At 45.4% G+C, this 27,290-nt stretch overlaps 1 protein-coding gene and 2 pseudogenes across 1 annotated transcript in view; 2 read left to right on the forward strand and 1 right to left on the reverse strand.

Moving 5' to 3' along the window:
• MERTK (MER proto-oncogene, tyrosine kinase) overlaps positions 1-27,290 on the forward strand; it is a 130,955-nt gene that overhangs the window by 22,911 nt on the left and 80,754 nt on the right. Inside the window, exons 2-4 of the mRNA NM_006343.3 lie at positions 7,603-8,023; positions 23,443-23,543; positions 25,877-26,050. Coding sequence (NP_006334.2) covers positions 7,603-8,023; positions 23,443-23,543; positions 25,877-26,050 — 696 coding nt within the window. The remainder of the gene's footprint in view (positions 1-7,602; positions 8,024-23,442; positions 23,544-25,876; positions 26,051-27,290) is intronic.
• Positions 8,658-8,950, forward strand: RN7SL297P (RNA, 7SL, cytoplasmic 297, pseudogene; annotated as a pseudogene).
• RTRAFP1 (RTRAF pseudogene 1) lies at positions 18,601-19,538 on the reverse strand (annotated as a pseudogene).

Here is a 27,290-nt window from a genome sequence, read left to right on the forward strand (position 1 = left end):
GCCTTTCTCTAAATCACAAACCCACCTGCAGAAGGGCTGTAGGGCTGTTTGATAGCAAATACCTTCAGCAGACAGCAAGACTGGTGAGGAAACAGCATACCTCTGGAATAAGGTGCATCCTCTTGGCCATGCATTTATGTGCCATATGTTCATGTGTGCTTGAGTTGGGAAGCAAAGAACCTCTAGGAACTGAAAGATAAGCCCTCACTCTTTTGCAGCCTCCTCTGGGCCTCGTTTTTCTTTTATTTCTATTTTTGGTAGAGACTTGTCTCACTCTGTTGCCCAGGCTGATCTTGAACTCCTGGGCTCAAGCAATCCTCCCGCTTCGGCCTCCCAAAGTGCTGGGAGCCACCACGCCTAGCCTGGGCCTCTTGAGTTTGAGGCTGAACTTTAGAGAGCTCAGCTGATGCTTCTGCCCATTTTATTGTTGGGGAAGGAATAGAAAGAGCAGGAGTAATGGGTCCCACAGGCTGGCACTCACTCCTGCCATTACTGTAACTCTGGTAGAGGAGCTATTCCTCTCTCTTCCCAGGTGCCTGGGATCATAAAGCAGGCTGATGGCACACAGCATCCTGGGGTAGCTGGGGTGGGGTGGAACTGAACAGGGTTCACCAGCCAGCACCCTCAGTCCCACAGGGCTGCCACCTGCCCTGCTCAACCCTCTTCCCACAGCATGGAGGGACTCCAGGGCCAGGGAGGCTGCTTGCTGCCACATCCCCACCCACTATCATGGGACCTGCAATTTCAGTTGCTGCTGCTTTCTTTAGTCACCTCGGTGATCACCTTGGGCTGTGATCACCAAGCTTCAAGAAAATCAAAGGAGCTCATGTTAGGAAAGGCTGGTGGAGACCATCCCTGGAGAGATTGAGAGATGCCTTAGAGCTAAGAGCCCTTCGCATCCCAAGCCCGATGTATATTTTTTCCTCTCACTCATGGCTGGCAATTATATTACTCTAGTATTGCCCTTCCCCATGCATTGTCCAAGGCAGACATCACTAATTAAACTCAGCCCTTATCCCCGCAGGGCCCAGACCTGGCTTTAGAAATTCCTACTTTAGGTGGCCAGCAGGCCAGGGTTCAGATGCAAGCCAGTAACAGCCATGTCAGCCAATATTTTTGGAGTGTGCTGGTGGACTCGATGCCTATCAGCTCCTACTGCTGAGATCCTCTTGTCCTCACAAGAGTTCAAAGAAGTTATAGAGCTTTCCTGAGGCCATACCTTGAGGTGGTGAGGGACTGGGTGGGCCTCAGCCCTCTGACTGCAAAGCTGCTAGCTAACCTCTGAGCAGCACTGCCCACCAGCCCTTCTGCCTTTGCACACTGCATTTGACAAGTGCTCAGCAAGGATTCATGGATTTGAGGGTAGGATGCACTAGTTGATCACATGGAAAATAACATTCTTTACTGGCTTGCCCTAATGAACGAATTTTGAGTCTAAGAGACTATTCACAAAGTCCCTAAATGTCTGAGCCACTGTAATTGTGTGTCATAGGCATGCTGACAGCCTCTCCAAGTTCTGTCTCCAGCCACAGCAGTGTCCTTGCCTGGACCACCTCTCTTCCCTGCTCACCCTTCAGGACCTCTGCACGTCACACCCGTTTATTCTGTAAATGTTTGCTGCATGTGACTCCATGCCAATCATCATGATGGGTTCAGATGATGCCACCTCCAGCCTTCAAGGAAGTTACAGACAAGTATGTTCAGAAAAACAGGGCAAACTCACACAGAAAAATGGGCAGTATGTGAATAAACATTCACTAATCAGGTCCCTTGGGCCTGTCCTGTACTGGGTGCTGAAGAAAGATGATGGAGACAAAAGCCCTGACTTTAAGAAGCGGACGCTAGGGCTCTGGTCAAGGGCTGCATGGTGATTGGAAACACATGGGCACAGTGCAGGGGTGCTGCACCACACAAGTCCAGGACTGGATGGAGTGGCCCCTGGAGTTGGTAAATGCAGCTGCTGGAGCAGCTGGGCGGCTACTCTGGGACCTGAGTGGGAGGCTAGTGATCCAAGGCAGCTTAGCAGCACTCGTTTATGTGAAGTTAAAATTCCACTCCAGCTGTTTATCCAGTCCACATGAGGAAGCAATCCTGGAAGAAGGTGGGAGGGATAAGGTGGAGATTTCTTGTGAATTCCACCCAAATTACAACCAGAGGCACCCCACTTTTCCATGTGCTGTGTAGAAAGGACCACATTTGCATTAAGTCTTTGATGTGGGTAAGCCTTTCAGTCTGAATTCATCTGCAATCACTACCCAAAAATAATTTTGAGAGTATTCCACTTCTGTGGGGGAAAAACAGGGGGAAAAGATACGTTATACAACCAAAGTAATAGAAACAATGAAAAATTTAGCAACTTAAAATATAATTTCTAATTCATCATTGCCCAAACCCTTGGGTCCAAAACCTTGGAATGGTTTTTGTTTTGGCTTTTTTTTCTTCACATTTTGTATAATCACCCAGTGCCCCCACACAGGGCTGGTGAGGTTATGCATTGCACAGCTCTAGAGAACAATTTATACAGCCAACAACGATGTGAATGGCAATACCACCCCACTAAAATTGTGCAGTACGAGCCTCACCAATCTCACCAGCCACGTGGGGGTCCAGCCTCAGTCCCAACAGTTCTCAAGGGTTAGACCATGGAAGATTTTTACTAACTCATAATAAAATGAGAAAATAATTAAAATAATAGCTAACATTGAGTGCTTACTGTGATCCAGACAGTAATAACTCCTTTATTCCCGTTGGCAACCCTATGAGGCACCATGGTTGCCATCCCCACTTTCCCTGTGAGCAAACTGAGCCTGAGCAGCCTCGAGCCACCAGCTGTCCACTCCTGAGAACTCTCCTTTATGCCAGGATCGCATCTTTCCTCAATATCTGGTGTCAGACTGACTTTCCTTTGTGGAACACTGGTGGTAGTGAGGATGCTGTTGCTGTCAGCCCCCTCTTCTTGGTCTCCTGTATCCTTCCTACTCTTCACTGACTGCCCCTGTAGTCAGGTCTTCACTGCCTTCCTGGAAGGTTCCCACTTCCTGCTCTTCTTCCTCCTACTCAGCCAGTTGCTGGTGCCAGAATCCCCCTCATCAAGCCTAGCTCTGAGCCTTGCTCTCCCTTGCTCAGAAGCCTTCCAGGAACTTCTCCTGCCTCGACTGGGATTCAGGGCTCTCCACATTCACCTTAATTTTGGTTTATCTCCCATTTTTGTTCTAGCAGAGTAGCTCTACTCTTCAGCTAAATTGCTGTTCCCAAACTGGTTGGGCTACTTCCTGTCTCTTCAGTTTCCCACCACCTTTGACCCTGGCAGCCCCAGGCACCTTCTCCATCCCTCAGATCCATCCTTTACTCACTCATTCAACAAACCTATTTTGAGCACCTCCTACATACTGGCTGTAGTGTAGGTGGTAGGTATCATGGAGCTTTCAGTCCGGCAGTGGAGAAAGAACTGGATGAGTAATCGTAAGATGTATTACAAAAGGGTCCTAGCACCTAACCTGGGGGTGCTAACTATAGGAGGTTAGTCAGAGAAGGCCTCCCTGATGCTATGGGCAGCCTCCCCTCCCCACCCCCAGTTAGCCATGTCCATCTCCCCTTTAGCTCCTGGGACCCACTGTGGCTCTGTTCCTGAAATAAGTCTCTTTCTTTATCCCATTTGACTGTCGTAGCAAATCTTGAACCCAGGAGGTGCTATATAAATATCTGTTGGCAATCAAATCATTCTATCAACTTCTGGTAAATCAAATTGTACAGATCAGATATATATATATATATATTTTTTTTTTTTTTTTTTTTTTTTTTGAGATGGATTTTCGCTCTTGTTGCCCAGGCTGGAGTGCAATGGTGAGATCTTGGCTTACTGCAACCTCTGCCTCCCGGGTTCAAGCGATTCTCCTGTCTCAGCCTCCTGAGTAGCTGGGATTACAGGCACCCACCACTACGCTTGGCTAAATTTTCGTATTTTTAGTAGAGACGGGGTTTCACCATGTTGGCCAGGCTTGTCTCGAACTCCTGACCTCAGGTGATCCACCCACCTCAGCCTCCCAAAGTGCTGGGATTACAGGCGTGAGCCACCGCGCCTGGCCCAGATATCTTTTAAACCATCTAGAGTGTTGAGTGATTTCAGGGTAGGTTTCGTGGCTCCCGGACTTCAGTGATGTCACTTTAGTGGGTGGCCTTGCCCCTAACCAAGTTAACACTTTGTTTGGTGAACAGCTTGGCTCATGGAAAACTGAAGATTATACCCCAAATTGTAATCAGAGGTTATTATCTTGCAGGGTTGGGCTTACAAAACAGACTTTATTATTATTTTTTTTAATTTTTTTTTTTTTCTGAGACAGAGTCTCGCTCTGTCCCCCAGGCTAGAGTACAGTGGCGCGATCTCGGCTCACTGCAAGCTCCGCCTCCCGGGTTCTGCCATTCTCCTGCCTCAGCCTCCTGAGTAGCTGGGACTACCCGTGTCTGCCACCATGCCCGGCTAATTTTTTGTATTTTTAGTAGAGATGGGGTTTCACCGTGTTAGCCAGGATGGTCTCGATCTCCTGACCTCGTGATCCGCCTGCCTTGGCCTCCCAAAGTGCTGGGATTACAGGCGTGAGCCACTGCGCCCAGCCCCAGACTTTCATTTTATATTGTATATGCTTCAATAAATATTTGAATTTTTTCACAACAAATTTGTTAAGTTCCTAATTAAAAATTTAAAATATTCTTAAATAAATTAAACCAATGAAGGTATAATTTGCTTCTCCCACTTCCCATTTTTGCCTTCTAAGAAAGGGACCTATATTTAAATGGGGGAAAAAAGTGATTTGGATTAAACCCCTAACTCCTGAGTCCTCTGTAGCTCAGTGAATAGGAAGAACCACAGATGAGTGTGCCCACCCAAGTGGCAAAGGTGAATTGTCAAGGCTTCAAAGTACATGAATAAAGGGCCAAGTGTGGTGGCTCACGCCTGTAATCCCAGCACTTTGGGAGGCCGAGGCAGGTGGATCACAAGGTCAAGAGATGAAGACCATCCTGGCTAACATGGTGAAACCCCGTCTCTACTAAAAATACACAGATTAGCCGGGCATGGTGGCGCGCACCTGTAGTCCCAGCTACTCAGGAGGCTGAGGCAGGAAAATCACTTGAACCTGGGAGGCAGAGGTTGCAGAGAACTGAGATTGCGCCACTGCACTCCACTCCAGCCTGGTGACAGAGCGAGACTCCATCTCAGAAAGCAAACAAAAACAAAGCCTACATGAGTAAGTAGAGCACCCTTGAGGGAGCTCTGCAGGTATGAGACAAACAGCCAGAACATGCATTGCTGCAGAAAGCATCCACACATCAGAGGAAGGGGAGCCCCCTCCTCCTACCAAGAGCATAGGTCCACCCTTGTGAAGGTTTGCCTGGCATGTGGGCTGTGAGTGACTGGAGAGGCAATGGTCCCTGTCTGTTGTCATCCTGATCTTCACTCCCTAGCATAAGTGAACACTCCCATGATGGCACATTCATCTGTCTGGACAGCTGGGCTCCAGGCCAGCCCACAGCTGACCCACATAGCCCTCCCCTAAAGCACACAGAAGGCCCTACACTCCCACACTCACCAAGACCTCAGGATAAGGAAAAGTCTTCCTGTATCCTTGTAGGAAAATCTCTTCTCTTCTATCTGGCATTGATCCTGACTCACTAAGGAGGCAGTTCCCAAAGGCAACAGCCATGAGAGTTGGCCCCCAACATCAAAGGGGCCTGGGAGGGAGCAGTTGCTGGAATGGGAGAGGGAGCTGCATGGCAAGGGCTCCCAGACAGGGGTATGCCCTTCAGTTGAGGCATATGTGCTGTCCAGAGTGGCTTGGCAGAGAGGAACCTAGAGGAAAAATTCCCAGATCCCCTCCCTTCTGCCCCACGATTTCCTACTTATATCTCCCATTAGCCAATTAAATACTTAACTGAATACTTAAATTTAAAAAATTCCAGCCTGGGCACATACATAGCCAGACTCCCTCCCTACAAGAAAAAATTTTAAACTAGCTGGACATGGTAGCACGAGCCTATAGTACAACCTACTCGGGAGGCTGAGGTAGGAGGATCGCTTGAGCCTAGGAGATTGAAGTTGCAGTGAGTTACTGTACCACTGCTCTCCAGCCTGGGTGACAGAGCAAGAAGGCCCTGTTTGTTTAAAAAACAATTATTTGTTGTTCATCTGAAATTCAAGCTTAACTGGGCATCCTGTGTTATTTGCTAAATCGGGCACAACTCTGAGCAAAGAACACCCTACTCCCTGCACACACACACTCAGGAGCCCAGGAGGGCATGATGTCCTGAGCATGGCAGGAGGCCAGCCCTTGAGCAAGGATGGAGCCCCCACTGTGTACCCCCAGTCACCAACCCATAATGTAGACTGCTAGGCCTATATCTCTCTCACCCACCTGTCTCACTCACTCCCTCCCAACGTATTTGAATAGATAACAACCAGTGTAGAATCTGTGTCCAAAAATGCCACTCAGAAAGCTAAAAGTACAGCTATTATGAGCCTTCCCTTGCTCAGAAACCATCTAAAATACTTGTGGACCAGATGAAATAAAAACATTTCCAGGTTTATTCCAGCAAGCAAGCATTTTCCTGGAAGCTTCAGTATTCTATAGCTGGTAACTTAAGAACACTTTTTTTGTTGTTAAGGCACAAAAATTGTAAACTCATCTCTTTGTGGCCATGAGCAGCTTTTTTTTTTTTTTTTTTTTTTTTTTTGAGACAGGGTCTCACTCTGTCACCCAGGCTGGAGTGCAGTGGCACAATCTTGGCTCACCACAGCCTTGATCTCCTGGGCTCAAGCGATCCTCCTTCCTCAGCCCCCCAAATAGCTGGGACTACAGATGCATGCCAACACATCTGGCTAATTTTTGGGGTGGTTTTTTTTTTTCGAACCTCAATCAGCTTTTTAAAGACTATCAGCCAAATTTGCAGCATAGTCTCTGACAGAGCAGACAGTAAGAAAAGTTATTTATTTTGAGACAGGGTCTCTCTCTGTCACCCAGGCTGGAGTGCTGTGGTGCTACCTTGGCTCACTGTAACCTCCGCCTCCCAGGTTCAAGCTGTTCTCCTGCTTCAACCTCCTGAGTAGCTGGGATTACGGGAATGTGCCACCATGCCCAGCTAATTTTTGTATTTTTAGTAGAGACAGGTTTTTGCCATGTTGGCCAGGCTTGTCTCAAACTCCTGACCTCAGGTGATCCTCCTGTCTCGACCTCCCAAAGTGCCAAGATTACAGGTGTGAGCCACCGCGCCTGGCCAAGAAAAGTGACCTTGAGCCCTGCTGTGTCATCACCTTCTTCTTATACTGCTGAGTTGGGCATGAAGGACTTGGAATGAGTCAGTAATAAGAAAATTTTTATTTTTGGTGGGGGTGGTTACATTTCTTCAGGACTCTTCCAGAGGCGAGTTTACAAACGAATGAACTGGTGAATAAGAATATGTCCAGATGTGTGTGTTAATGAATTCTGCTTATCTTTTCCTGGGGCACAGAGGACACCCCAGTGCTCTCTCTTCTTGGCCTAAGAAGTTGGGAACCTACTTGGGAAACTCTTCTTATTTAAAAGGCTAAAATTTGGATGTTCTGTTTTACAGCTATCACTGAGGCAAGGGAAGAAGCCAAGCCTTACCCGCTATTCCCGGGACCTTTTCCAGGGAGCCTGCAAACTGACCACACACCGCTGTTATCCCTTCCTCACGCCAGTGGGTACCAGCCTGCCTTGATGTTTTCACCAACCCAGCCTGGAAGACCACATACAGGAAACGTAGCCATTCCCCAGGTGACCTCTGTCGAATCAAAGCCCCTACCGCCTCTTGCCTTCAAACACACAGTTGGACACATAATACTTTCTGAACATAAAGGTGTCAAATTTAATTGCTCAATCAGTGTACCTAATATATACCAGGACACCACAATTTCTTGGTGGAAAGATGGGAAGGAATTGCTTGGGGCACATCATGCAATTACACAGTTTTATCCAGATGATGAAGTTACAGCAATAATCGCTTCCTTCAGGTATGTGTTCTTTCTTCCTTTTTTATTTTTTTAGTTTTAATATTTATTTATTTATTTACTTATTGAGACAGAGTATCATTCTGTAGCCCAGGCTGGAGTGCAGTGGCACGATCTCAGCTCATTGCAACCTCCACCTCCTGAGTTCAAACGATTCTCCTGCCTCAGCCTCCGGCGTAGCTGGGATTACAGGCGCCCACCACCACACCCAGCTAATTTTTTTTTTTTTTTTTTTGTATTTTTTGTAGAGATGAGGTTTCACCATGATGCCCAGGCTGGTCTCAAACTCCTGACCTTGGGTGATCCGGCCACCTAGGCCTCCCAAAGTGCTGGGATTACAGGCATGAGCCACCTTGCCAGGCCTCTTCCTTTCTTTTTAAATGTCATTATGCTAATGCTGCCTCAAAAGCAAAAGCCTTTTGTTTTCTATTTAAGCAAACCACTGGTCCCTTTAGAGAGTTGAAGGATAACTGACAGTGTGTGTTCAATCTGAGCTTGGCAGTGTTGGAACTGTTGGTTAACAGATACTCAGGGGCTGGGCCTGGGAGGCTACTTCCCACCTGACCTACATATCATATCAAGTACAGCTGGACCCAAGAGCTCTACCAGTGAGTGGGAACAGTGTTTCTTACCGGGTAGGAGGAGACGTTAAAATCACCCTGGCCATGTGGGGCTTTTTAAACAGTGCAATTGCTTGAGCTAGAGAGTTCTGGGCTATAGTGTGCTATGCCAATTGGGTATCTGCATCAATATGGGGATTCCCCCCACTACCACCAAAAGCAGGGGACCACCAGGTTGCCTAAGGAGGAGTGAACTGGCCCAGGTCAGAAACGGAGCAGGTCAAAACTCCTGCACTGTTCAGTAGTGGGATTTCACCTGTGACTAGCCACTGCATTCCAGCCTGGGCAACATAGTGAGACCCTGTCTCAAAAAAAAAAAACCCCCAAAAAAAAGCCAGTGCAGCTCTCTCGTCCCTTCAGTTACCCTGCCGCCCCTGCCTTCCACCTCTCCCCACCGCCTCCCAGTGCTGATGTAGCCCCCGTGCACCGTGGGGCAGGAAGAGATGGAAAGTCTGTCTCTGGAAATGAGACAGGCCCTAAGCCTCAGACCATCATCTCAGTACTCCACTTTGTTTTTTAAGAGCAAGCTAGATGAGGTGGAGGGTTGTGTGTGACAGGGATAAGCTAAGCCAGGACTTATATCTGGAATACTCTGTTTTCCCAGGGACCCAGCTGTCATGTCTCAGAATGCTGCAGACGGGCAGGTAGATGCTTCTCTTCTTGCCACCCCTTTTGTATTCTCCACTCTTTCCTCTTAGCCAGGAGGTGTTTTGCTTTTCTGTTTTTGTTTTTTTGCATCAGGACTTCGTTGCGTGCACAGTTTTAGAATTGGGTTGGCCTGTGGTTGTTAAAAGCACAAAATGAGGTCAGAGCCACACAGGGTGGAAGCAAGAGCCTTTTTCCTGCAATTTCTCCACTTTGGAGTGGAGCCTTCTTTGATCTGTTACATTTTCACTTTCTGTGACATGATACTTGGCACCATCCCATACTGTGTCATGCCTTTTAGTGAATCATTTTGTTTCCTTTTCAGAAAACCACCTCACAATTACCACAGACCTAACTACTCAGGTTAGTGTGCCAACACTTCCACAAGATGTGCCCTTTTTTTTACATTTTTTCCCCCAGGTTGTAGGCTTGCTTAGTGGATAATCCCTTAGCCTCCAGGCAGAAAATGCAACTTCCACATTACTCTGGCTGAGTCTCTCGGCAGCCGTTCTCAGCCAGTGGCTAAGACTGCTTAGGAGATTTGACTATATTTTTTCTGCATCAACTATAAAAAGCAGATGTCTTACAATTACATAGACATAGCTTCTGAAGAGATAAGTAAAACTATCATTTAATAATAAGTGAATGACCGAGGCAGGCGGATCACGAGGTCAAGAGATCGAGACCATCCTGGCCAACGTAGTGAAACCCCATCTCTACTAAAAATACGAAAATTAGCTGGGCGTGGTGGCGCACGCCTATAGTCCCAGATACTCGGGAGACTGAGGCAGGAGAATTGCTTGAACCTGGGAGATGGAGGTTGCAGTAAGCCAAGATTGCACCACTGCACTCCAGCCTGGCAACAGAGCGAGACTCCATCTCAAAAGAAAAAAAAAAAAAAAGAAGTGAATGAGGAGTAGTTTAAAGATTTCAAGAACAGCAAGCTGGCACATTGGTCTCATTGGGTGTCACCTAGGAGGGGAGCATAGCCCTACCTTGCTGTCTCTCTGGACTTGGCCAGTGTATGACTGTGGGTGAGCTGCCTCATCTTCCCTGGTCTATTTTCCAAAGGAAGAGATGGACTTGGACCATGTGACTGCCAGCTCTACTTCTGCTCTCAGATGCCATGAGCTGTTCAGAGGACTTAAATTGTAGAGTTTTAAAATTTTGATTAGTCAGTTTCTTGTTTTGGACCCATCTCTTTAGAGTACAGAAGATGACCTGGGTATTATTTTGAGAACTTTAGAAATTTGGAGTAGAATTTATTCTACTGTGTGTTTTCAGCTTATTATATATAAACTCATTCTAAAGGAGAAAAATCTTATTTGACCTCCAAACTAAGCCTGAAAGCAAATTTAGCGATCAGAATTTTTGCAAATGATGAGCATTTCTTTTTTGAGACGGAGTCTTGCTCTGTCGCCCAGGCTGGAGTGCAGTGGCGCGACCTCGGCTCACTGCAAACTCTGCCTCCCAGGTTCATGCCATTCTCCTGCCTCAGCCTCCCGAGTAGCTGGGACTACAGGCACCCGCCACCATGCCCAGCTAAGTTTTTGTATTTTTAGTAGAGACGGGATTTCACCGTGTTAGCCAGGATGGTCTCAATCTCCTGACCTCGTGATCCACCCGCCTCAGCCTCCCAAAGTGCTGGGATTATAGGCGTGAGCCACCGTGCCTGGCCATGATGAGCATTTAGTTGAATTAGGTAGCATACAGGATGATACCAAATTTGCCTGTATATGATTCTTCAACTTTATTAAGATAATGTTCAGGGGCACAGTAGTTGTACAGTGATTCAGTGAAATAAATTATAGTTGTAAGAGTTAAAGAAAGAGGAAAGAAACATGAAATGCAGCTTAACAGTTAAAGATGGGTTTATTTTAGAGAAATAAGCCTGAGAGGGGCTCCTGGCCAATTTTGGTGAGGAGCATTATCTTTTATAGACTAAGAGTATATATTAGTTTCAGGGTAGGGGGCTTATCACAAGCTTGGAATGTTTGTATGTTGGGGAGAAGTTTATAGCAGGGTTGGAATGTCTCTGGTCAGATGGGAGGTTATCTTGGGGCTGACATCTCTCTGGCCGAAGGGGACGTTATCTCAGGGCTGGCATGTCTCAGGTCAGGGAGGGGTTTGGAGTGTTTTTGGTTGGAGATGTTATTTGTTTTTTATGGTCATGCTGACCTTAGCCATTAGGCTGATGCCCTTTAGATTTAGGCGGTTTTTAATCAAGGTGAACTTTAGAATGACAGTGCTTGTCCAAGATGGCGATACTCCTGCTCTGTCAATAGTTACTTAATCAAGATGACAAATATTTATATAATTTCTTGGCAAGAGAGGATGATGTTGGAGTTGCTAAATGTGCATTGTTTTTTAGGTGAGGACACTGAGCCCCATGAGCAGGGTCACTAGGCAGTGAGCTAGTCTTACTTAAACAGGGAGCCTGATTTGCATACCTGCAGTGACCTCTCTTCTCACATCTCCTGGGCCCTAAGGAAATCTACTGTGGCTCCCAGGAACAGTGAAGAGTTAAAAAATAGTTTTAGGCTTTCAATATAAGTAATTTTGTTAGAAATTCATTAGCCTGCAATTTTGCTGGAGTTGCCATTAGCGACATCTATGTGGACTATGTTTATTCAAGAGAATGTGCAATTAAAATCACTAGGGGCAGAGAACATAGATGTATATTGGCAGAGGTCAAAAGGACTCTAGAGAGAAACACCTGGTATTTTCAGTTTGGTCATGGGACCTTTTTTTTCTAAAAGGTATTAGGATCACACATAGAAATTCCCGTAAGAATAGGCAGAATTTATGTGAATTTTTAACATGATGAGGTCTCTAGATTGAGGACCCCATACTTTGTATCTGCACTCATTCTTTAAATATGGCACAATCGTGAGTTACTAGAGACTGACCCTGTGTTTTATCTTTCTTTTCATTATACTTTAAGTTCTGGGATACATGTGCAGAATGTGCAGGTTTGTTACATAGGTATACACGTGCCATGGTGCTTTGCTACACCCATCAACCCATCATCTACATTAGGTATTTCTCCTAATGCTATCCCTCCCCCAGCCCCCCCACCCCAACAGGCCCCGATGTGTGAAAGTTCCCTTCCCTGTGTCCACGTGTTCTCATTGGTCAATTCCCACTGATGAGTGAGAGAATATGCAATATTTGGTTTTCTGTTCCTGTGTTAGTTTGCTGAGAATGACGGTTTCCAGCGTCATCCATGTCCCTGCAAAGGACATGAACTCATCCTTTTTTATGGCTGCATAGTATTCCATGGCATATATGTGTCACATTTTCTTAATTCAGTCCATCATTGATGGACATTTGGATTGATTCCAAGTCTTTGCTATTGAGAATGATGCTGTAATAAACATACGTGTGCATATGTCTTTATAGTAGAATGATTTCTAATCCTTTGGGTATATACCCAGTAATGGGATTGCTGGGTCAAATGGTATTTCTGGTTCTAGATCCTTGAGGAATTGCCACACTATCTTCCACAAAGGTTAAACTAATGTACACTCCCACCAACAGTGTAAAAGTGTTCCTATTTCTCCACATCCTCTCCAGCATCTGTTGCTTCCTGACTTTTTAATGATTGCCATTTAAACTGGTGTGAGATGGTATCTCATTGTGGTTTTGATTTACATTTCTCCAATGACCAATAATGATGAGCTTTTTTTCATGTTTGTTGGCCGCATAAATGTCTTCTTTTGAGAAGTGTCTGTTCATATCCTTTGCCCACTTTTTGATGGGGTCGTTTGTTTTTTTCTTGTAAATTTAAGTTCTTTGTAGATTCTGGATATTAGCCCTTTGTCAGATGGATAGATTGCAGAAATTTTCTCGCATTCTGTAGGTTGCCTGCTCACTCTGATGATAGTTTCTTTTGCTATGCAGAAACTCTTTAGTTTAATTAGATCCCATTTGTCAATTTTGGCTTTTGTTGCCATTGCGTTTGGTGTTTTCATCATAAAGTCTTTGCCCATGCCTATGTCCTGAATGGTACTGTCTAGGTTTTCTTCTAGAGTTTATATGATTTCAGGTCTTACATTTAAGGGGAAGAGAAGGGAAAGCATCTGGTCTTTGGTCCTAAAACAGCACCTGTCCTAGTTGAAGATGTGGTTTAGAGTATCTAATGGCCCAGAGCTTTGGTTACTCCTCACACCTTCCATTGCTCTTACACCCTCTTTCCCGTAGTGGCCCCTGCTGTTATATAGCTCTCTCCCTTCCAAAGGAAGAAAGGACTGTGATAAAGTCATTTACTCTAAGGAAAGCTGTAACATTCACTGGTGATGTCATTTTAGACACCAAGAAATAGAGATATTGTAAAAATCAATACACATATGCAAGTACACACTAGTTATCAAAATGGCCATCCTTGCACATGAAGGTGTTTTCCGGCAATTCATTATTTGTTGGCTGCATAGTTAACTGAGGGATGGCTGAACATTGAGGCAAGTTGGGCAGACCTGGTCCCTGTCCTCCTGCTCATGGTTGTGAACAGAATGGAGGGGAAGGGCCAAATCAAACGTCAGGTGCGGCAGCGCTAAGGTACTGTTGCCTTCAGATTTTAGATTTGTCCCTGACGTATTAATTTAGAGGAGGAGGAACTGGCACCAGGACTGGGGGAGGTACACTTCTGCCTCTCAGGAGCAACCGCATCTTGCAATCAAATCTCAGTTAATTGAAACTTGGGGAAGAAAGATGGAAATAATAGGAGCTCATGGACATTTAAGTACGAATCCCATGTACTCTGGAAAGACTAAGGGAGATTTGGCATCATGCACAAGAGTGTCCCTGAAAGATTTTTAAACTACTTGGTCTTGGCTCGTGTGTGTGTGTGTGTGTGTGTGTGTGTGTGTGTGTGTGTGTGTGTGTTTAAATTATTTTAATAGTAATGTATGTATTTTGTCAAAAACTTGGAAAATACCAAACATACAAAGAAAGAAACAATGGCTTATAATTGCAACTCTGAGAAAAATTTTCCAATTATATATAAATAAATTAAATGTTCTTGAAATTAATCTTTTATTGCATAGATGATTATATATCCTGTTTCATTCAGTTTATATTATGAATATTTCTGTATATTATTAAAAGTCTTCAAAAAAATTTTTTTGTTTTTTGAGACAGAGTCTTGCTCTGTCACCCAGGCTGGAGTGCAGTGGCGTAATCTCAGCTCATTGGAACCTCCACCTCCCGGGTTTAAGCAATTCTCCTGACTTAGTCTCCTGAGTAGCTGGGAGTACAGGCGCCCGCCACCATGCCCAGCTAATTTTTTGTATTTTTAGTAGAGACAGAGTTTCATGGTGTTAGCCAGGATGGTCTTGATCTCCTGACCTCATGATCTGCCCGCCTCGGCCTCCCAAAGTGCTGGTATTATAGGCATGAGCCACTGCGCCCGGCAAGTCTTCAAAATATTTTAAGGTATTTTATTGCATAGATGATTACATATTCTGTTTCATTCAGTTTATATTATGAACATTTCTGTATATTACTAAAAGTCTTCAAAATATTTTAAGGCTGCTATATGCCACTGTAATCTGCTGTTGTGAAATAAAAGCAAATATAGAAGGATGCAAATGAAATTATAAAATTAAAAATTTTTTAATTTTTGTAAATGAAAAATTCTTTTTAAAATGCTGAGTTTGGGGTATATACAAGGGAAGAAATAACTGATGTTCTGCTCCTAGCCTAGGTGCCCTCTTGAGCTATGCTTGTTTTATGCTAATAATCTCCCTCTTTTTTTCCTGTTTCACTTGGATGTCTGTTATTGTTGATGGAGCCAGGAGTCATCTTTGATTAATAGGTGTAGAAAACATTCAGTGTCTGCTACAGGTTGAGGTCCCTCGAGAGCATTCACCTGGCCTCCTTTATGAGACTTGAGTCAGTGGGCTGGGCCTCCTCCTTGGTGCTGTAGCCACTAACCTGCCTCACCTGTATCCAATATCAGCTCGAAACTAGCATATCCGTTTGTCCAGGTTCCAGGACACTGCTTGGCCAAGACCTTTCACTGGAGTCTCCAAAGAAGGGTGTAATTTGGGATATATATTATAATTAGCTCTGATGTCTAGTATAGCAAGTAAACAGCCCTCTAGCTTGGGTGGAAATGTGCCCTGGTCAGGCGCAACACTCCAGAAGGGCAGCAGCCACCAGACCAGACGACAGGGAAGCCCAGCTCCCAAGCAAAACCAAAAACTGGTGGGAGTCTTGTGGTGAGGGGAAAGTATTTGTTGTTTTCTGTTTAGTCTAGGGATTCACACTGCTTTTTAAATTCTGGCATAGTTCCCAGTGGCTAAAGCTGGAATGATTCTACTGTTTCATTAAATTTTCTTTATAAAAATGTTAAGTTGGGGCCAGGCATGGTGGCTTATGCCTGTAATCCCCGCACTTTGGGAGGCCAAAGAGGGAGGATTGCTTGAGCCAGGGAGTTCGAGACCAGCCCGAGCAACACAATAGGACCCCATTGCTACAAAAAATTAAAAAAAAAAAAATTAGGCAGACATGGTGGTGCACACTTGTGGTCCCAGCTACTCAGGAGGCTGAGGTGGGAGGATCGCTTGAGCCTCGGAGTTTGAAGCTGCAGTGAGCCATGATCCACTCCAGCCTGGGCAACGGAACAACACTGCCTCGAAAACAAAACAAAACAAAACAAAAGTGGGTAGTTTGCGTCTCCTGACATCCTGTTTCCTTTGGGGCCCCCATCTCCATGCATCTCCATGCAGGCTCCTGGTACTGTGGATGCTGTGTTTTCGGGGCCCCCATGGGCTCTCTGTGCTGGGCTTTTCCCTCCCATCTTGCCTTACTGGGGCTGATGCCTGTTGCCGGTTCTTTATTCTGCTGCTCTTGGTGGCAATGAGAACAGAATCTAGAAAATAAAAATCTAATTTCTTTAACCAAACTATCTGCTGGAAAAGCTGTTATTAACCACAGATGCCTGATACTTTCTGACTTGCGACCTGTTCACAAGACTTCCTTTCAGCTCGAACTTCCTTGCCCTTGGCTTACCCTGTCGGCACCATGTGAACGGTGGCAGGTAAAAACAGGGCGCTTACAGTGGACCTATTTCTTAAAATTATTTTTTTCATTTTTAATTTTTTTGACATGGTAAAACATATATATAACATAAAGTCCCCCATTTCAACCCATTTTGAGTATACAATTCAGTGGCATTCACGTTTTTGTGCAACCATCAGCACACGTTGCACATCCATCTCCAGAACTCCAGTAGAGTAACCACTACTCTATTTTTTATTTTTATTTTATTTTATTTATTTATTTTTCTTGAGACAGGGTTTCACTCTGTTGCTCAGGCTGGAGCGCAGTGGTGCGATCACGGCTTATTGCAGCCTCGACCTCCCAGGCTCAAGCGATCCTCCCACCTCAGCCTCCCCAGTAGCTGGGACCACAGGCATGAGCCACTGTACCTAGCTGTTTTTTGTTTGTTTGTTGTTTGTTTTTTTGTATTTGTAGAGACAGGGTTTTGCCATGCTGTCCAGGCTGGTCTTGAACTCCTGGGCTCACGTGATCCTTCTGCCTCAGCCTCCCACAGTCTACTTTCTTTCTCTGTGAGTTTGACTACTACAACTACCTCATATAGGTGGCATCATACAATATTTGTCCTTTTTTTGTATTTCTTTTAAAAAGACTCTAGAGCATAACTGCTACTTCCAAGTCATTTCTGAGCAGGCTAGACTGGTAGTGGTAAGGACTGAGGGTTAGAGACATGCTGTGTGTGTATAAGATGTGCCTGGGCTAACCCAGCCTGTGCTGCCCTGGGGTGATGGGTTTCTGCAGCTGCTGGCCATGCAGCTGTACCCAGGTGGTTCCTGTCTAGACACCATGGCTGAGTATGTGCCATTTCTTTTGTCTTCCCTCATTCAGATGTTTGTATTTGGCCAAAATCTGATGAGATTTTTATACCATTTTTTTTAAGCAGTGGTAGAACATTCTGACTATTCAAAAAGTCTTTTTTCCACTCCAGCCCCCAGCCCTCTCCCTGTAGGGAATGGAGATTACCCATCTCTTGGGTATCTTTCCAGAGATATTCAATCCCTATGTAATCCTATGTATGTCTGTATGTGTGTGCTAGTCTCCAGCATGGTGTGTTAATCTAATAGAATGCTACTCATAGCTGTGGTTAAATCAATACCCAGGGTATTTTTTTGTAGCTATGGAAATTCTGTTTTCAGCTGAATCATGTAATATGCTATAATTATATTTTACTTCTTGTCTTAGTCTGTTTTCTGTTGCTTATAAAAGAATACTTGAAACTGAGTAAATTATAAAGAAAGGAAATTTATTTCTCACAGTTAAGGAGGCTGGGACATTCAAGGTCAAGGACCCCCATCTGATAATGGTCTTCTTGCTGATGCGACTCTGCGGGGTCCTAAGGCAACGCAGGGCATCACACGGCGAGGGGGCTGAGCGTGCTCATGTGCTAGCTTAGGTCTCTCTTCCTCTTCTTATAAAGCTGCCAGTTCCACTCCCATTAATTCTTTATCCCATTGTTAATCCATGAATGGATTAATCCATTCATGAGGGCAGAGTCCTCATGACCCAATCACCTCTTAAAGGCCTCACATCTCCATACTGCCACATTGGGGATTAAGTTTTAATACAAGTTTTGAAGGGAATATTCAAGCCATAGCACTTAAGGACTTAGCACTTAATTAATTAATTAATTAATTTGAGACAGGGTCTCACTCTATCTTCCAGGCTGCAGTGCAGTGTGCGATCATAGCCCACTGCAGCCTCAAATTCTTGGGCTTAAACAATCCTCCCATCTTAGCCTCCCAAGTAGCTGGGGCTACAGGCATGTGCCACCATGCCCAGCTAATTTTTAATTTTTTTTTTTTTTTTTTTTTTTTTTTTGGTAAGAGATGGGTTCTCGTTATGTTGCCCAGGCTGATCTCAAACTCCTGGCCTCAAATGACTCTCTCACCTTAGCCTCCCAAAGTACTGGGAGTGCAGGCATGAGCCACTGCACCCAGCCCCATAGCGATTCTTGAGTAGCTTTTTGATTATCTTGAATTTAATAGTTTCCTAAGTATCAATCACTCATTCTTCTCTAAAGGAATGTATGCATCTCCTCACACCACAACAAAATTATCAGTACTGATATTCATTTATTTATTTAGGAGATGCCTGTCCTGGCTTCTTCCCTTCTGCCTCTGTCTAATCAGGTTCCCTCTGGGTCTGGGGTCCAGCTATCTTTACTACTATTCTGAGGATCCTCTATGCCTCCTGTGGTCCAGCTCCTGTTTCCTAGAGCCCAGGTCCTCTTTCTTGGCTTCTACTCTTTTTTTTTTCTACTTTCCTAAACTTTATTAAAGAAAAAAGTAATGGTGGTAAACCTCTAGAACTTACTCAATTTTCTGGGATTCCTCCCCCGAGAATGTGATATATTGATTTCCAAACATGCCGGAAGTATACATGGTTCCCAATTGTACTAAATAGACTAAATAGGTGAAAAGCTGAAGTCCTAAAGTGTTCATCTTCCAACTTTTCCCAGCCTGTGGTCTGTCCTTGCATCAGCAATAATTGCCTGAACAGCTGCTATGGCTTCATTAATTTTTGTCTGTAGCTGTCTGAGCTCTTCTGTATACAGCAGTCACAGAATTTGAGTAGCTTCATTAAGAACTGCATCTCCTGTGTCAAAACCAAGAATATGTTTGTCTAAAGCAACAGGCAAGCCCTCTTTTGTTTGATTTGCTTTAGCAACTGCATCCTGTGTCAGGTGCTCCTGAACCAAAATTTGAATTGCCTTAAGCATTACCAGGCAATCATCATGACATTGAACCTGAAGCAGGTTAGCCAAAGCCATTACACCAGGCTTAAAATCAGGATTATTTACGTCCAAATTTATCAATGGTTCTGCATTTTTAGTTGCATTGTCAGCAGTTTTTGCATTATCAGGTACTAAGTCCTTGTATTTTTCAGCATTATCTCCATATTCAAATCTAACAGCTAAACCAAGAAGCCAGTCAATAGCTTCTTGTCGATCTTGAATCTTTAAACGACAGTTAACATCTCTGAGATACTTTTGAAAGAACTCGGGCCAGTCACTGCTGTGGATGTTTCTTAAATTACCTCTGTCTTCAGTCTTGTAGTATCTGATTTTCTGGTCTTCAAGCCAAACAGTGAAGTTTCTAAATTCTGTTTCATCTTTGCAGTTGAAACCGGCGGGGTTGTGGTAGTCAAGAGCCGTCAGCTTTCATTGGAACATGCTCCCCGCTTCTCACTCTCTTTGGCTTTTACTCTTTTACTTTGGCAAGGAGCTTATCCGTCACTAACTTCCTGGGACTTGCATGCCTGAAAATGCCATTCTTTTTCCTACCTTCACCTTGAGGTAGTTTGGCTGGGTACAGAGTTCGAAAGGAAAATATTTTTTGTTTTAACTTTGAAGTCACTGATATATTTCCTTTGAGTTCTGGGTTGCTCTAGAGAAGCAGGATGTAATTCTGATTCATTCATAAGTGATCTGCTTCTGTTCTCTCTGGAAGCTTTTGGGATCTTCACCTCATCTTAGAGTTGTAACGTTCCCTGATGAAGCCCCCATGTGGTGGGTCTTTTTTCTCCTACTGTGCTGCCCAGCCGGGGGCCCGGTTAGGAAACACCCATATCTTCAGTGCTGGGGCACTTTCTTGAACTTCCCCCCTTCCGCATCCACTCTCCGCGTTTCCTCTGGAGCTCCTCTTACATGGTGGTTGGGATGCCTAGATTGCTGTTCTGAGCCCGGAGCCTTTCTGGTTGAGCCTCCACAGAGACTGAGCCTCCTGTTTTTCTGGGCAGAGGGAGGAGAGCCAGGGACAGCCCCTCCAGTCTCCAGCCCCACCCCACACCCCACCCTCCCAGTGGGAGCCTTTCCCTTGGATGTCTAGAAAGCGACAAGTATAATGATTTATGGAAAATCTTTGCTGTAATATAGGTGGCATGGGTCAGGCCTTGCTAATTAATGCAGGTGCCTATTTTTACCAGACAACTGCTAAGCCCTTCCTGCCTTGAATGACTAAAGACAAACTTCCGATTGAGTTCTCTTTGCATTCTGCATGCTCCTTTTCTATTTCTGGTGTGTATCCTCCTTGCTGGTTGGCTTAAGGTTCTCCTGGGCATCTTACGCAGTCTGATTTCTACAGTCCAGGGTGAGCTGCCAGACGGTCCTTTGTGCCTCATAGTTTCTCGGCTTCTGGGGGCTCTGCACCTCCGCTTTGTACCTCTGGTCTGGGTGCAGTCCCCTCAGGCTGCCTTCCTGGGGCTGTGCCCCACCTCCCTCCCGGCCTTCACTTTCTCTCTGGTCCCTGTCTCCCTGAGTCCAGCTGCAAGCCTGCTGCCACTCCCGGGTCCCAGACCTTGAGGCAGAGCCGGTCTTCAAAGGCACAAGTGTCCTCAGTCTGTCCGATCTCATGGTTCACTCTGTTGAGCCCCTGGGTCTTGCCTCAAGAAAATGATGCCTCTTCTAAAGTGGATTTGTGAAATATGTAGAAGCACCCCCTCTTCAGTAGCCTTGGTTTCCCTTTGAACTCCAAAGATTAGATCCATCTGTTGTGCAGGATCTTCAGGAACTGCTGAAAGCCAGGGTCACCGCTCAACCACTAGTCATTGCCCACGATGGGCAGGACATCATTCTAGGCACAGAATTCTCCCATCTTTCTTCAGCCCTTCCTGTCACCATGATATCCAGGGGGCTACCAGGAGAGGGTCAGCCAGCTCCTTATTTGGAGATATTTGTCCTGTGTATTCTCTTTTCATCTTCTCCTGGTAACCTCTAAGCATTGTGACATCCAGCCACTGCCCCAAAGCATGAAAGGATCTGGCCTTTCCTTGATCCCTGGGACCTCCCCCATGCCCACCATTCATTCATCAGGTGCATTCCAAAATTATATTGCTCCTACAAAAGAACGAGGGGAAAGGGGAAGACAGAGCATTTCAAGTCAAAGGGAAGCCACTCAGATTTACACATCAGGAAATGCAATGACAGGGGACTGTTAACTCCTGGATCCTGGGAACAGTAAGGAAGTAATGTTAACCTGAGTAGCTCTGACCCCCCGAGTTCTGACTGATGCCATTGTTGAGCTGTGTCTTAGCTGCTCTATTTATCACAGGCCAATGAGGATCTGCAAAATGGTATTGTTGGGAAGAAGTAAATTTAAAATGTTTAGTGTTCAGAAAACTGAATTCAACCTAAGGAAACTCTGTCTCATTCAGACCTGGGGACCTCACTCACTACCACATGTCTGCTCCAGATGCTAACCAGGCTGTGCTATCCTCTGGCAGCTGCCACCCCTGCCTATCAGGCCATGGTTCAGGATGGAGCCCCCTCTACCCTTGACAGCTTCCTGGTTTCTTTTAAGCCTTAAGCCTCAGCCCTTCACAGGTTGAGGGATGAGATTTATTTTGTTTAGAAATAAATAGGTTATACAGGGAAGCAAGCTTCTAGGAAGGAAGGTGGAACTTCCATGTTTTTCTTCTTTTTCTTCGTTCCCCTGGTCATGGTCTTCTTTGCTGTGTTTAAAGAGGAGTGTCTTTGAGCCAATAAAGAAATCCTCTGGAGAGCATCTGAAAGTATTTAAAAATGTTCCCCGGCTGAGAACGGTGGCTCATGGCTGTAATCCTAGCACTTTGGGAGGCTGAGGTGGGAAGATGGCTTGAGCCCAGGAGTTCAAGGCTGCAGTGAGCCATGATGGTGCAACTGCACTCCAGCTTGGGTGACAGAGCGAGACCCCATCTAAAATAAAATAAAATAAAATGTGCATTTCAACATGTAAACACCGGGCATGTCCACCCCAGGAGAGATCATTAAGTACCCAGGGACTTGCACCTTAGGTGCACCTTCAAGCACTTGACCTGTGACTGCTGCAAATACAGTCATGCTGTCAGTGAGAGACCTTACAAAATGATGGCTAGGGCCCCAGAAAGTTCTAAACAGGACAAAGGCTACCAGCTCTCCATTTTTATAGTCATTGCAGTCCTGGTAAATTAGGTGAATATTGAAACCATACAAGTATGTTAAATGGAATTAGGGTCTAGTCTCAGGAGGTCATTTGGGATATGGAACAGTTGCCCTTGGCCCCTAAAAACCCATGGAGCCCCCCTAGTCATTGTGACCACCAAAAACAACTCCACAAATTTCCAAAATGCCTTGAGGGGGCAGTACCCCAATGCAGAGAACCACTGGTGCAGAGTCTACCATAGAAATCAAGACAGGTGGCCGGGCATGGTGGCTCATGCCCATAATCCTAGCACTTTGGGAGGCCAAGGTGGGTGGATCCCCTAAGGTCAGAAGTTCGAGACCAGCCTGGCCAACATGGCAAATCCCTGTCTCTACTAAAAAATGCAAAAATTAATCGGGCATGGTGGCGCATGCCTGTAATCCCAGCTACTCAGGAGGCTGAGGCAGGACAATCACTTGAACCCAGGAGGCAGATGTTGCAGTGAGCTGAGATCATGCCATTGTACTCCAGCCTGGGCTACAGAGTGAGACAGAATCTGTCTCAAAAAAAAAAAAAAAAAAAAAAATCAAGACAAGTGATAGCACATATATTAGTCAGGGTTTTTCCAAGAAACCGAACCTATAGGATCTGTGTCTACAGCTTTATCTAGAAAGAGAGAGAAAGAGGAATTATTTTAAGGAATTTTCCTTAGTTCCTTAAATTAACTCCTAAATTATTTATTAATTCCTAAATTATGAATTCCTTAAAATAATTCCTCTGTTTTAAGGAATTAGCTCACACACAGTGGGGGCTGACAAATATGGAATCAACAGGGTGTTGGGTGGAGACCCATGAAAGACTTGATGTTGCAGTCTTGAGTCCTCAGGCAGTTTGGAAACAGAAGCCCCTCTTTCCCTGGGGACCTCTGTCTTTTTCTTATAAGGCCTTCAACTGTTTGGATGGGGCCTGCCCCCATCATGAAGAGTAATGTGCTTTACTCAAAGGCTGCTGCTTTAAATGCTAGTGACATGTGAAAAGTACCTTCACAGCAACATCTAGGCTAGGGTTTGACCAAACAACTGCGTACAATGGCCTAGCCAAGCTGACATATAAAATTAACTATCACAGCATATGACAAAGAAGTTGAAGAAGTTTCCATCCTATAATAGGAACTCAAAGGGTAGTCACTGTAAATATCTTCATGTGTTTTTCTTTGCAGCATAACCAGTGTGCAGCGTTCAGACAATGGGTCGTATATCTGTAAGATGAAAATAAACAATGAAGAGATCGTGTCTGATCCCATCTACATCGAAGTACAAGGTAAGTCCACAGACCAGAGTCCCATTGCCAGAGAACTGTTTGTTTTAGGGCCTGTGTTAAATGTTTTGTGTATAATACTCTAGAGTTTTGCCTGCCTATTTATAACTCTGTATGCAAACCTTGCAAATCTATCAGCACTGAAATTTTACAAGGTACTCCACTTTGTAGTCTATAAGTAATAATGAAATGAATTCAATTCCTGAAGTTTGAGCTCTATTATAGGCATTACAGGTGAGATAAAAAGAGATTTTGGACTTCCTTGTCCACAGATTATTGACAATAAAAATAAGCTGAAGACTTCTTTTTAAGAAGCAAAATGCTTTCTACTATCCAGTTTCCAGTACTGGTACCAGATACCACTCACCTGGTCAAGTGGCTGTTGGCTTATTATTCAGCATCTTTTCCTGTCTTGCCTATGCAGACAGTGAAACCCTGGAGGGTGAGTGGTTTTCCTCGACTGGCTCAACAGCTCAGCCTGAGACTTCTTTTGGGCACTGGTATCTGTCAGGTGCATGGTTCAGAGAAATTCCATGACATCATATGAAGGTCCATGGGGATGAAGAGTGAGACATCAGGCTAGGAAAAGGCAATCTCTGCCCTCAGGGAACTTGAACTCTAATGGGCAATGTGAGCTGATGCACAGGTGAACCAGGCCAGGTGAGCCCAGGTCCTGGTTTGGTGCCCTGATTTGGGGGTTTGCATGCCTGGTTCTGCAATGGCAGTGCTGCAAGGAGGAAGCATCTTTATTATCACCCTCAGAGGTCACTCCTCACTACCCCTGGGGGCTTCCCTCTGGGGGCCTTGTGCCCCTCCTCTCTGAGGTGCCCCTCTTAGCAGAGCCATTAGGTCACCTCCCTTTTCTACTTTATCCTGACCTTCCTTGTCACAGGCTTTAGAGCAGGTGATTAGCTTTTCAGTCAGAAACATCTCCCACTGAAAGTCTGCTATGCTACCCATTCTTTTGTGAACCTGAAATTGATGCCCACCAATGTGGAGGGAAGCCTCAGGGAGCACAGATGGAAGGAGGAGGAGTGAGTGGGGAAGACAGAGGGGAGGGGGAAGAGACTCCCTCAGAGGAGTCTCTTCATGACCTTTGCTCTAGGCCCATCCCAGGCTGGACAGCTCTTTCTCAGGGTTACGTCAACATCAGCCAAAGAGGGGGTTTCCTACATTTGCAGCTAATTTGGGAAAAAAATATTTACAGGAGATTTTATTTGTCAGAATCCCAGAAAAATGCCCAGAGCAGGAACATATTAAGTCCAAACAGAGTTTCAAAAAAACCTTGAAACAGGATAAAAGAATTCCATTTCACATAACTGCCACGTCATTCCTGCTGGAACCAGATCTGTGAGTTCCCAATCCCCAAAAGAACACAATTAGCTGGACTCGTTATATTTTTGAACACCTGCCCCAAATGAGTACTGACTGGCTTTCTCTGAGCTTCCTTGGGACCTTGATTTTGGAAAGTACGGTAGATTTAAGGATTGTAACTGCAACTGTGTTTATACAGTTTTCATGAGAATTTGCTTTGAAAAGCACTCAGCCTTATACAAGGCTGTGGATTTTAAAATTCCTTATGACCCATCTGAAAGTCACACACATAATAGAATGTCTTCGTACCATGGACAGATCTATTACATAGCTTTGTTTTACTCTGCGTTTATTTTGGTAAGAAATACTGAAAACCTGCCAACTAGTCAGTCCCAGGAGTTTGAGCAACACCTGATGTAAGAACTGCCTGTGGCCTGCCTTCTGGTAAAACCAGTTCTGAGTCACTATTTATAGCCCCTTTGGCAAAGCATCCTAGAAAGCTGGCTTAAAGTAGACTGGCAGGAATTAGCCTCTGTGCTCCTTCTTATCCAACTTAAGGAGGTGAAAACTGATTAATACAGACCTGCCTGAGGCTGTAGATAAAGAACTCTTGTTTGCCAAGGCTGGGCGCGGTGGCACGCCTGTAATCCCAGCACTTTGGGAGGCCAAGGGGCAAGGATCACTTGAGGTCAGGAGTTCGAGGCCAGCCTGGCCAACATGGTGAAACCCCATTTCTACTAAAAATACAAAAATTAGCCAGACCTGGTGGTGTGCGCCTGTAATCCCAGCTACTTAGGAGGCTGAGGCAGGAGAATCACTTGAACCCAGGAGGTAGAGATTGCAGTGAGCCGACATCAGGCCACTGCACTCCAGCCTGGGTGACAGAGCAAGACTCCATCCCCACCCGCCCCCCACAAAAAAAGAAATCTATTGCCAAGTTCTAGTCCAGTTTCCATTCCCCTTTGGGCTCTGTCTCTGTTTTCAGATCTGAAACATTCTTTTGTGTAACGTTTTCTCCGCAGGACTTCCTCACTTTACTAAGCAGCCTGAGAGCATGAATGTCACCAGAAACACAGCCTTCAACCTCACCTGTCAGGCTGTGGGCCCGCCTGAGCCCGTCAACATTTTCTGGGTTCAAAACAGTAGCCGTGTTAACGAACAGCCTGAAAAATCCCCCTCCGTGCTAACTGTTCCAGGTAAGTCCGAGCTGTGGGCTTATTGATTTATTCTCTAATAGCGGACAGGATCAAAAGTTTGGCGACCCTTGCTGTGCACCACTAGCAGGCAGTGGAGACAGATGAAAATACAGGTGTGGCAGCAAAGTTATGGGACCAGGTAGACGGGAAGGCAGGTGGGAATCACAGGTGTGAGAATTCACAGGCCAAGGTGGGGAAACAGGTGAGGGCCTCTGGGGGTACATAGGGTTAAGTTGTTGAAGTGGCCAGAATCCCTGAGCCCAGGCAGCAGGAGCCCTGCTCGCATCTCCCATTGTAGCTGTGGCCTTGCTGGTCTGTCAGGTCTTGCGTTTATGGAACCACTGACGTGAAGACCTCAGTGGATTTGACACCGAGAGAGTGGATTCATCATGGGGAGCTATTGCAGGAAGTGTGAGCCCTTGGGGGATTGTGGCTGAATGGACATTCCATGGTCGTCTTGATTTCCATCCAAATGAAAGTGGCCCAGTTTTAGTCCCGCACATCACTGATGATGCTCTTGTCAATACCACTGACGTTTCCCATGCACTGAAGTCAGTGGGCTCTTCTGTGGCTCCTCTCATTGCATCTTTCAGCAACATCAGGCAAGGTTACCACACTCCCTCCCTCCTTCCTTTCTCCAGGGACTGCTGTATGCCTGAGGCTGTTCTAGGCCTTCAGGACACAGCGTGGACTTTTGGAAACACTGTCCTGGCTTCCATTTCATTGAGTGACACCAATTCATTGCTCCTCCTTTGTCATTGACTGGAGTTTTGAATGGCAGGGCTCAATCCTGGGTCCCCTTCTTTTACTCTGAGATGCTTCCCCTTGGGAGAGTTTCTTTGGGCCCATGGTTTAACACCATCTATAAGAAATGACCTTGAACTCCAGCCCAGACCCCTCTCCTGAGTTGCAGGCTCATGTATCCAACCGCCTCCTTGGCATTGCCACTTGCTGGGTACATAGGCATCTCAGAATGAAACTCTTAACCCCAGACTTGTTCCACTCCAGAATTCTCCATCTTAGTGAATGATATCACCATTTTCCCATCCTTCCTTTTTCTCATTTTTCATGTTGGCATCAGCAGTTCTGTCAGTTCTGCTCCTACAATACATCTGAAATCTGTCTTTTCTCCACCCTGCTGCCAGCACCCTGGTCCGTGTCACTGCCAGCTCTTGCTGTCGCCTCTGCAGTAGCTTCCTAACTGGGCCTTTTTGCTCCCAGCCTTGTCCCCACTCCCAAC

Source organism: Homo sapiens, chromosome 2, assembly GCF_000001405.40.
Source record: "Homo sapiens chromosome 2, GRCh38.p14 Primary Assembly".
In the NCBI taxonomy this organism is placed as follows: domain Eukaryota; kingdom Metazoa; phylum Chordata; class Mammalia; order Primates; family Hominidae; genus Homo; species Homo sapiens.